Below are 12,137 nucleotides of genomic sequence, written 5' to 3'. Positions count from 1 at the left end.
CGAGATGGCGGCAGTACAGTCCAGGTTCGGCTTGGCATCAGAGGGAGACCATGGAGAGAGGGGGAGGGGGAAGGGGGGAGCGGGAGGGGGAAGGGGGAGGGGGAGAGGGAAGGGGGAGAGGGAGAGGGAGAGGGAGAGCTCACATTTGTTTTTCTACCACTTTCTTTCTCTTCACCTGGGAGTCCCATTACATGCATGCTTTGGAACACTTGACACTGACCCACAGATCTCAGAAGTTCTGTTTTTTCTCCAAACTTTTTTCTCTGTTCTTTGGACTGGACAATTTCTGTTAATCTTTCAAATCCCCCAACTCTTTCTTCTATCATCTCAGATCTGCTTTTGAGCCCATGTGAAGAAAGTTCATTTCAATTATACTTTTCAACTCTGGAGTTTCCATTTGTTTTTTTGTTTGTTTGTTTGTTTTGAGATGGAGTTTCGCTCTGTTGCCCAGGCTGGAGTGCCGTGGCAGTATCTCAACTTACTGCGGCCTCCGCCTCCTGGGTTCAAGTGATTCTCCTATCTCAGCCTCCTGAGTAGCTGAGACCATGGGCACATACCACCACACCCAGCTAATTTTATTTATTTATTTATTTATTTATTTATTTATTTATTTTGTATTTTTAGTAGAGACAGGGTTTCACCATGTTGTCCAGGCTGGTCTTGAACTCTTGACCTCAAGTGATCTGCCCACCTCAGCCTCCCAAAATGGTGGCATTACAGGCATGAGCCACCACGCCTGGCCGCCATTTGGTTCTTTATTACAGTTTCTATTTATTGAGATTCCTATGTAACTCACTGTTAGTATTTCTTTGAAAACCCTTTCCTTCAATTCTCTCAACATACTTGTAATAAATATTTTGATGTTATTGCTAAATCTAATATCTAGACCCACTAAGAGTCCATTTCTACTATTTTTTCCCCTTGTATGGGTCACACTTTTCTGTTTCATTGTACATCTAGTAATTTGTGGTTGAAAACTCTATATTTTGATAATACATTGTAGCAAGACCATATTCTGTTTAACTTTTCTGAGGGTTGTTAGCTTTTTCAATTTGTTTGTATTTCATAACTTGCCTGGACTTACACTGAGGAAACTGTCTCCTCAACAGTGTGCAGCCTCTGATATCTCTATTCCATTGCTTTATTCTTATTTTCAATGTTTTAGCCTGGCTCTCTAGCAGCTACCTCTTGTCTGTATAGTTTGCAGGTAAACCAATAATTTGAGCACAGATCATGCCCAAACACCTGAGCCTATAAGGTTTTCCTTTCACTTTCTGCTAAATGATCTGTGTGTGGGTTGGGGAATGCATTCAAAATTGCAACTGGCACTCCAGTTTGAGCTCTGCTGGGTCTCTCCTGCATATATGTAGTTTTCCTGTCATCTACGGATGTGTAGAGAGGGTATCTGTCTTTCTATGGCTGTAATACAAGATCTCCTTGTTAAATTTTTGACTAATCCATCACTTGCCTCGAATTGGGACTGCAACCTTGGTCTAACAAAGGTACAGGTTTTACCCATCTGTTCCCAACAGAATCTGTTCCTTTTGCTTGGCAAAGGCAAAAGTTTTTGTACCTTCCCTCCCCCGCCAACAAAGAATTAAACCTGCTCATCTGGCAACAGAGGTGGTATTTTCATGGCCAGCCTAGACTAGAAAGCTCAGTTATCACCAACATAGATTAGAGAGAAGAGGGGAGGTGACAGAAACAGCTACAGGAAGAGGAGCCAGAAATGGTTGTTTTTTGACAGTTCTGTCCAGTTTAATGCCTTTTAAAAAAATTCCCCTTTAGCAAAGAGGAATCACTAACCACTTCACACTGCCATTACAAGAAGTCCTCTTAACATTCACTTTTGGAAGAATGAAAACACTTTACAGGTCCTTAGGGCTAGTCTAAAATGCTGGTTTCTCAAAACTGTCAGGTTCTTTTACATGTATCTCTATTACCAGGAAAAAAATACATTAAAGTCACAAAAATAAGGCTGGGCACGGTGGCTCGTGCCTGTAATCCTAGCACTTTGGGAGGCCATGGTGGGCAGAGTGCCTGAGCTCAGGAGTTCAAGACCAGCCTGGGCAACACATTGAAACCCCATCTCTACTAAAATACTAAAAATTAGCCAGGCTTGGTGGCATATGCCTGTAATCCCATCTACTCGGGAGGCTGAGGCAGGAGAACTGCTTGAACCCAGGAGGCAGAGGTTGCAGTGAGCCAAGATTTCGCCACTGCACTCCAGCCTGGCAATACAGCGAGACTCCGTCTCAAAAAAAAAAAAAAAAAAAATCACAAAAATGATTTTTTTTTTTTTTTTTCAGACGGAGTCTCGCACTGTCGCCCAGTCTGGTGTGCGATCTTGACTTGCTGCAACCTCTGCCTACCGGGTTCAGGCAATTCTCCTGCCTCAACCTCCCAAGTAGCTGGGACTACAGGTGTGCGCCACCACGCCCGGCTAATTTTTGTTATTTTTAGTAGAGACGAGGTTTCACTATGTTGGCCAGGCTGGTCTCGAAATCCTGACCTCGTGATCCGCCCGCCTTGGCATCCCATAGTGCTGGGATTACAGGCATGAGCCACCGTGCCCAGACAAAAATGAATATTTCTTAAAAGCCATAATAATTATTCAACTACACAGTTTTCACAAGATTATTTGTGGACTGTTCCTTTGTGGTGACCAATAAAGCATGACTAAAGCTAAAGACCCAAAGACAACGCTCAACAAAGGCAGAGCCATGGGGACAAAATGTGTCCTCCCTTAAACCTAGCTGTGCTTTCAGTGTATTGTTCCACTCTCAGTAGAGCCTCTCCAGGCATCTACAGCTTTCATGCTGTTACTTTCTGTATTAGTTCATATTGCTGCTGTAATAAATTACTACAAATTTGGTGACTTAAAAAAACACAGATTGATCATCTTATAGTTCTGCAGGTCAGAAGTCTGAAACAGGTCTCACAAGGCTAAATTCAAGGTAGCTGCAAGGCTGTGTCCCTTCGGGATGCTCTAGCGCAGAACCCATTCCAGTTTCTAGAGGCTTACCCTCATTACTTGGCTCATGGCCCTCTTCTTCCATCTTAAAAACCTACATTACTGGGACCAAGTTCTTCTCATACCGCTATGACACTAACTCTCCTCTGTCTCCCTCTTCCACTTTTAAGAACTCCTGTGATTATACTGGGTCCACCCAGATAATCCAGGATAAATCTCCCTACCTTAAAGTCTATTGCTAAGCAATGTTAATGTTAATGCTCCCTTAATTCCTCTTGCCACATAACTTATATCCACAGGTTCTAAGATTTAGGTTGTGGACCATCTCTGGGGGCTAGCAGGGTTCATTATCTTGCCTACCACACCTTGCTATTAAAATCTCTGCTCATGAATTTCCATTTGGACATAAATGTTTGCTACGGTTAAAGTCTGTGTCATTTCCAGGGCTATTTATATTATCATGAAGCATAACAATCAAGAGAATAAATCTGTAATGATGGTTTCAGGAAACACCCACTAGAAGATATTTAAAGAAAATAAAAAAAGAAAAGTATTTAAAGGATAGGTATATCAGAAGGCTGAAATACATCCAGCAAAACACATCATTAAGATCAATTACATTGCCAAGAACATAAAATTGATCATGCCCACATATCTTTTAAAGTCCACTTTTATAAAAGTCCCTTAACAAAGTTAAACAGGCTTGGAGCTAATCTGAGAGGTGCTTGATATGAAAACTGAAACGAGAAGATCTTAAAATAGATAAAGATTAATAGACAAACTCGAACTACCAAAATTGAGCATTGGACATAAATCCCAAAAATCTATTTTCTAGAATTTGATTTGAAAATATAAGTTAATCATATAGTAATTTTAAATCACTCTGACAGGGTCAACCTATACTAATTGTATATTTATGGTATAAATAAGTACAGATGCATATATTGCAAAATCGTTTTCAAATTTTCATTGTCATTGCTTTAATTCTGGTTTAACTTTTTAAAATTCAAATTTAAATAAATGTTTAGGTGAAAACTTCTGTGTATGTTATTCTTCAGTATCTCTGAAGCATTACAAGTAATCTGTATCCTTGAAATTTTTGAGAAATGTATTTATTAACAATTACAATAAAAATTATATGAATAAAACAGAAGGAGAATATTATGAAATCCTCTTAAGATGTCTGGTTCACATTAGTCTTAAAATACCCACATACCAAAGTCCTTCTCATCTTTTCCCATTCCCAACCCTCTACTGCTATACCCAACCTTACCAAACTACCTACAAGTTTCAAAAGTGCATTTAAACATCATCACCTCTACTAATTCTGCCTCAAGTATCTTTTTACCTAACTTATTAATTAAGCTTATTCACCTGGTTTATTCTCACTTGTCTTTCAGGATTCATGTGAGGTATCACCTTGTCTGGAAACATTTTCCTGACTTAATCTGTCTGAATTACAGGTACCTCCTATGAGTTTCCATCAAACTTGTGTTCTGCCTCCTATGAGAGCATTTATCACAAAATGTTATTGTTGTCTACTCCCTTATCTATTAATCCCATAGATTACTAAGGCAGTAACCATGTTTTATTCTTGATATTTCTGTATCTGGATCACAGTAAATGTTTAAAAATTATATTTGTTGAATAAAAGAAAATACACATACATTTAATATGCTTAACTTTTAAACAGTTCTCAAAAGCTTTGTTGTTGGCTTCCTAAACTTTAAGAAAGGTCAAGTAAGACAAAACTGAAAGTGACTTCCAACCATACGGCAAACTAACATGACACAGGCCCTCCTTGTCCCAAAACACACAGAAATACCTGATCAAATATGACAATGCTGTCAAAATACACCGCTGAATTTGAAATAATAAAAAGGAGATTCCTGGGTAACAGAAACAAAGAGTATACTGAAAGGCAAAAGCGAGCATAGAAGGTGACTGAAAAATACCAGGGGATGATCAGCTTTGGCTATAGGCCCTAACAGCTGGGCACTGGGAGCTGGGATTTTATAGGGTAAGCCTTTTACTGCTGAAAGTCTGTTAGTTTGACTTATAAAACTGTTTGCAAAACTGACTATGCTGTGCTAGACTGAAGAGAACAAGAATGATGGAAGAAAAGTCTGTTTACGTCTGACAATACCATGTATTTTAGCCTAGCAGTCATAATGTGAATTATATAACTCTGAGATGATAAGGTACACCCAGCCCAGGGAAAGTGGTCTCTGGCATGCATCCAGATTAGGCTATGTCCAAGAATGCCCCAGTCTCATAATAATAAATATAAATAAGTCTACACCCAGAAACTAGGCTTCCAGAAGCACAATATCACTCAGATATCATCATCCATAACTGTGCCTCTGCTTACGAGGCCCTGGGACTTGGAAGCTGCCTATCTTTCTGATGAGATTACCAATCTCTCTGCTATATAACCTAAACGCACAAGCTTCCTTCTGTATCCTTTATATTTAGATTTACTCCATCAATCCAAATCACTACAGAGGTTGTAATGTTTTGAATGACCTCTCAGGGATATGGGTATACATGAGACAAGGTACTGGAACTGAGACTTCTGCTTACATCCTGGACCCTAGAAGGAATTGCCACCTCAATAAAATGAGAATGCCAGGCTCAGAAAGTTTCAAAGGCAAATTCTATCAAACGGTTAAAAAAAAAAAAATTTTACACTCTCTCAAAGAAAATAAAAGAGAACAAAATACTTTCTGACTCACATTATAAGGCCAACATTACTCTGATACCAAAACCAAAGCAGGAGAAAAGAAAATTACAGACCAACATCCCACATGAACATAGACACTGAAGTCCTCAACAAACTATTAGCATATCAAATACAGCAATACACATACATACACACACACACACACACACACACACACACACACAGAAATACAAATTGCACCACAAAGAAGTGGAGTTTATCTTGAGAATGCAAAGCTGGTTATATATCCAAAAATCAGTCAATGCAATCAACATATTAAAAATCTAAAGAAAATAAATCATATCAATTTAAGCAGAAAACAACAATCATATCAATTTAAACAGAAAAAGGATTTGACAAAATTCAACATCCATTCATAATAAAAACTCTCAGCAAAGCAGGAACAAAAGGGAATTTTCTCAATCTGATAAAGAGCATCTACGAAAAAACCTACAGCTAACATCACACTTAACAGTAAAAGACTAAATGCTGTCCCCCTGAGATAAGCAACTCCTATTCAATATTTTACTGGAAGCCCTAGCCAGTTTTAAACAGAAAAAAAAAATGAACAGACTGCTTCATGGTATCTTGTAATACATATTTTTAAAAAAGCACAGAGATTAGAAAAGAAATAATACTATCCATATTCAGAGACAGTGATTGTATATATAGAAAATCCCAAAGAAATGACAACTCCTAGAACTAGTCATTGTGTTTAGCAAGGTTACAGGATACAAGGTTAACCCCTCAAAATCAGCCATATTCCTACATACTAGAAACGAACAACTGGAAATGAAAAATTTTTTAAATAATATCATTACAATAGCTCCTTTATAAGAAAGCAACAAGTAGAAACATAATATATAACATTTACAGGATCTTTGTGCTGAAAACTGTAAGACACTGCTGAAAGAAATCAGGTAACATCTAAATATCAAAATGGATATATTGGGATTAGGGGTTTTTGGAAAGAATATTACAGGCCACTGCCACCCCTTTTGCCAGCTGGGTAATGGATCTGCTACCACCATCCCCAGCATCCATAAACAGCTGCTTTCACCCTCAGATTTTGAATAATTCCAAAATAAAATAATTTTTTAATAGGAGAAAGATTTGTGACCTAGAGCAAAAAGTCCTCAGACATGGCACCAAAAGCACAATCCCTAAAATTAAAAATTGATAAAACTGAACTTCATTCAATTTTATAACTTTTGTTCTAGAAAAGACATATTAAGAGAAATTAAAAGATAAGTTACAGTCTTATCTGTTACAGATAATCTTTTCATTTCTCTTAGTGCTGTCTTTTCTAGAAAATTTTTGGAAATCACACATTATAAAAAAGATTTACATCCAAAGTATACAACGAACTCTCAAAACTTTACAGTAAGAAAACAAACAACCCCCACCCCCAAAAAAGAAAACAAACAACCCAATTAAAACATGTGCAAAAGACTTGGACACTGTTAATACAGAGAAGATATAAATGGACAAATAAACACACGAAAGATGTTCAAAATTAAAATTAGGATACCACTATGCACCTACTAAGAATGGCTAAAAACAAATACTGACAATACCAAGTGCTGGTAAGGATGTAGAAACTGGAATTTTCATACATTGTTGGTGGGAATGCAAAATGGTACAACTACTCTAGAAATGTTTTGCAGTTTCCTATAAACATACACTTACCACATGACTTAGCAATACTACTCTAGGTATCTACCCGAGTGAACTGAAAATGTGTTTTCACACAAAAATCTGTATACAAATATTTATAGTATAGCTCTATTTAAAAATGCCAAAACCTAAAAACAATCCTAATAACCCTCAACAAATGACTGAATAAACAGCTTGGTATATCCTTACAATAAAATACTACTCAGCAATAAAAAGGAACAAACTATTGATAAGCAGAATCACCTCAAAGGATTTCAAAGGCACCATGCTGTTTTAAAAGCCAGTCACCAATGGTCACATACAGTAGAATTCTATTTACATACAGTAGAATTCTATTTATATGACACTCTCAAAAAGACAAAACTATAGTGACCAAGAAAGATCAGGGATTCCAGGGATTATAAGGATGTCGAGAGTGTGGTCAGGTACAGTGGCTCACACCTATAATCCCAGTACTTTGGGAGGCTGAGGTGGGAGGATCACTTGAGGCCAGGAGTTTAAGACCAGCCCAGGCAACATAGCAAGACACTGTCTCAACAAAAAATAAAAAACCCAACTTAGCCGGGCATGGTGGTGTGCACCTGTAGTTCTAGATACTCAAGGGGCTGAGGCAGAAGGATCACTTGAGCCCAGGAGTTCAAGGCTACAGTACCCATGATTGCATCAATGTATTCCAGCCTGGGTGACAGAGTAAGACCTGTCTCTTTAAAAAAAAAAAAAAAAGTGGGAAGGACGTGCCTATGCTTACTAAGAGACAAAAGGGACAATAGGGCTTTTTTTTTGGCAGCAGAGGTGAGGGGGTGTTATAGAACTGTTCTATCTCCTGATTTTGATACTAGTAAAAAACTATATAAAGTGTTGAAGTTCAGAGAACTGCTCACCTCCACAAAAAGTCCAATTTTACTACGTTGATTTTAAAAATATTTTTAAAAGTAAATGGAAAGGTTACAAAAACCACCCTACTAACAAGTTATTTATATTAATATATAGAAAGGTTTCATTACTTCATTTAATATTTTGACCACAAACTATGTAACAGTGAGGAAATACATACCAAAAGGCTGAAATCATGTTAATAGCATTTAGATTTTGATAAACATACTAGGCGCCATTATCTTATTTGATCCTCATAACTACTCTGGAAGTGCATATTATTTATTATTCTTAGTTTACCAGTGTAGAAACAAACTACAAGAAATTAAGTAACTTGCCCAAAGTTGCAGAGATACTAAGTACCTGAGTTAGGAATTAAACCTAATTCAGTATATAGCCAAACAGTAAGTAAGTGTTCAATTAATGTTGAATGAATTAATGCATACAAAGCTCATGCTCTGATACTATGCTGCCTTCTGATAAATTTAGTCACATTAAATGTATATATTCATATTTTAAAAGGCCAGAACGGAATGTGGAAGGATTAAATTAAATTTAATAGATATAATTATTACATTTCTTTTTTAGTTGTTTAAGTGAACAATTTTTAAAAGGTCATACTAAAAGAGGAATATTTATGAAACACTATCCCGTTTACCTGCATTTGCAAATAATTTTCTTTTTTAAAAGTGCTACACAGCCTATTTGCTATATGAAATGAAGAAAAAGATAAACACAGATTAATGTCATTTTCCCCTACCTTAGAATTCTTTAATTTAAAAAAATCAAAAGACCAACTGATAACAATAGAATAATTTCAAACCAGTATGTAAACTTCCTTTAACTAGGTCTCCTTTCTTAAATATATACTCTTTACTAGGGCCATTTTGGTGGTAGTTTGTTCTAAGACCACTCCATCCAAAATAAATAAAGTTCACAGACACTTGGAATAACTGAAAAAGACAGAAGAGACCTTTTAAATGTGATGTAAATAGTCCCTCCTTATCTGTGGAAGGTAAGTTCCAAGACCCCTAGTGGATGCTTGAAACTGCAGATGGTATCAAAGCCTGTATGTACTGTTTTTTCCTATATATAGTACCAATAGAACAGTTACGACAATATTTTGTAATAAAAGTTATATAAATGTGGTCTCTCTCTCTCTCTCTCAAGATATCTTATTGTACTATACTCACCCTTCTTCTTGTGATTTGTCAATCCGATAACCAAGATGACTACTAAGTGCCTAAGGGGCAGGTAGTGTATACATTGTAGATACACTGGACAAAGGCATGATTCACTTCCAGGACAGAATGGCCTAAGACTTCACCATACTACTCAGAACAGCATACAATTTAAAACTTGTTGTTTTTGCCTGAAATTTTCCATTTAATATTTTCAGACTACACTTGACCACAGGTAACTGAAACCGCAGAAAGCAAAACCACAGATAAGAGGGGTAAGATTGTACCTCTTACATTAATGTATCACATTTATAGTTTAGACACAGTGAGTTTTGATTTTATCACATAACAGATCAACATCCAACATATTGAGTTCATTTCAATATTCAATAATATGTATTAAAATTTCTATGATATTTAAATGTTCCATGCTTGTCATGAGACTACAGTTAAGCACTACCCTGGATTATGAAATACATTGTGCAGAAAAGATGAACCAGCAGGCCTGTGACCGCTATCCTTAAAAAAGCCTGCCTGCGGCCGGGCGCGGTGGCTCACGCCTATAATCCCAGCGCTTTGGGAGGCCGAGGCGGGCGGATCACGAGGTCAGGAGATCGAGACCATCCTGGCTAACACAGTGAAACCCCGTCTCTACTAAAAATACAAAAAATCAGCTGGGTGTGGTGGTGGACACATGTAGTCCCAGCTACTTGGGAGCCTGAGGGAGGAGAATGACATGAACCTGGGAGGCAGAGGTTGCAGTGAGCCGAGATCACGCCACTGCACTCCAGCCTGGGCGACAGAGTGAGACTCTGTTTCACAAAAAAAAGCCTGCTTGCAGAAAGGAAATCAGTATACTGAAGGGATATCTCCACTCCCATGTTTACTACAGCATTATTCACAATAACCAAGATATGGAATCAACCTAAGTACCCATCAATAGATGAATGAATAAAGAAAATGTGGTACATATACACAATATAATATTATTCAGCCATAAAAAAGAATGAAATCCTGTCATTTACAAGAGCATAGAAGGAACTGAAAGACATTTAAGTGAAATAAGCCAGGCACAGAAAGACAAGTATTGCACGTTTTCACTAATATGTGGGAGCTAAAAAAACAAACAAACTGAACTCACGGAGATAAGAGAATAGAATGATGTTAGTGTCTTATGGATAGTCATTTAAGTGTGTAAACATGGGTTAGAAGTGGGAAGCTGGGTAGAAGTTTTACAAGAAGATTTAAGATGGCCAGGAGGCTTAAAAAGGCTAGCTATGGGAGGTGATACAGAGTTGACATATCTCTAAGTAGAATTACCAGAGGCTTAGAAGGGTAATGGGGAGCAGGGCATAAAGAGGGGATGGTTAATGGGACAAAAATACAGTTGGATAGAAAAAGTAAGATCTAGCATTCAGTAGCAAAATAGGGTGCCTATAGTTAACAATAATTTGTTGTATATGTCAAGATAAATAAAAGAATGGAATTGGAACGTTTAATTGGGGAATCCATCACCTCAAGCATTTATCATTTCTTTTGAAAAAAAGATAAATATGTACAACTATTACATATGTAAAACTACTATATATCTACAATAATTAAAAACAAAAAAACTGAAAGAAAAAACAAACCAAAAAAATAAAAAAGAAAAGAAAAGCCTGCTTGCAAGGTTAACTCTTGGCCAACAGCTGGGAAATGGGATTTGGGGAGGGTTCTCACCATTCCCAGAACTGATTAAGCTGCTCACTAAGCCTAAATTGTTTATGCAAACAATGTAATTTATGCCGAACACCTGCTTTCCTTCTGGGAGCCTGAAATTTTGGTATATACCAGTTAAAGGGTGCTTATATGACCAGCCCCCTAATTAAAAACCTGGGGCGCTGAGCCTCTAACACTGTCCCTGATAGACAATGTTTCACATACTTTGTCACAATTTGTTGCTGAGGGAACTGAGTACATCTTGCCTGACTCCATTAGGAAAGGATTCTTAAAAGCTTGTACTTCCTCTGGACTTTGCCTCATGTGTTTTTTCCCTTTGCAGATTTTGCCCTGTATCCTGTCTCTGCAATAAATCAGCTGCAATTAAATGCTGAGTCCTCTGAGTCTTCTTAGCAAATCACTGAACTTGGGGACAGTGTTGAGGTCCCCCGCAACACACATACTAAAAGATACTGAGTAAAAGATATACCTACCATCTTACCAGGCAATGTGCTCTTGGAGGAAAGTCATTATTCATACCCAGCAAATCTTGCATAGATTGTGGAACAACATCTACAAAAACATTTGATAATGAAAAAGTTAGTATGTTCATGATCAGGCAGAGTTTTATAACATGCTTTGAGGAAACACATGTCTTGCTAGATCATGCAGTTTTGATATTGCTTTAAGATTCATATCTAAAGATAGCTCTTGAGTACAGGGAGAGGGATTTCTCTCTCATTTTTTTTTCTTCAAATAAAAGTAGCCTATAAAAAAGACATATGCCACTCCCATGTTTAAAATATTTTTTTGCTTCTGAGTCACAACTCACACAATTCCTCACACTTACCAGAAAGCTTTATTTATTCTTCTTAGCCTGTCCTTGCCTCTACTTTTCTTCAACATTCTATTTAGAGATATGTCAACTCTGTATAACCTCCCATAGCAAGCCTTTTTAGGCCCCCTGTCCATCTTAAATGTTCTTGTAAAACTTCTACCTGGCTTCCCACTT

The 12,137-nt window shown here is 37.3% G+C and overlaps 1 protein-coding gene across 5 annotated transcripts in view; it reads right to left on the bottom strand.

The window, feature by feature from the left end:
- RAB3GAP1 (RAB3 GTPase activating protein catalytic subunit 1) overlaps nt 1-12,137 on the bottom strand; it is a 124,105-nt gene that overhangs the window by 71,084 nt on the left and 40,884 nt on the right. For all 5 annotated transcript variants that reach the window (XR_001738674.3, XM_011510823.4, NM_001172435.2 and 2 more), the window contains exon 5: nt 11,620-11,698. Coding sequence is in view for 4 of the 5 variants with exons in the window: in XM_011510823.4 (XP_011509125.1) it covers nt 11,620-11,698 (79 nt within the window). In the remaining variant the exon portion in view is untranslated. The remainder of the gene's footprint in view (nt 1-11,619; nt 11,699-12,137) is intronic.

Source organism: Homo sapiens, chromosome 2, assembly GCF_000001405.40.
Source record: "Homo sapiens chromosome 2, GRCh38.p14 Primary Assembly".
Classification (NCBI taxonomy): domain Eukaryota; kingdom Metazoa; phylum Chordata; class Mammalia; order Primates; family Hominidae; genus Homo; species Homo sapiens.
The sequence above is the reverse complement of the archived record's forward strand: the minus strand, read 5'-3'. Positions and strand labels throughout refer to the sequence as shown.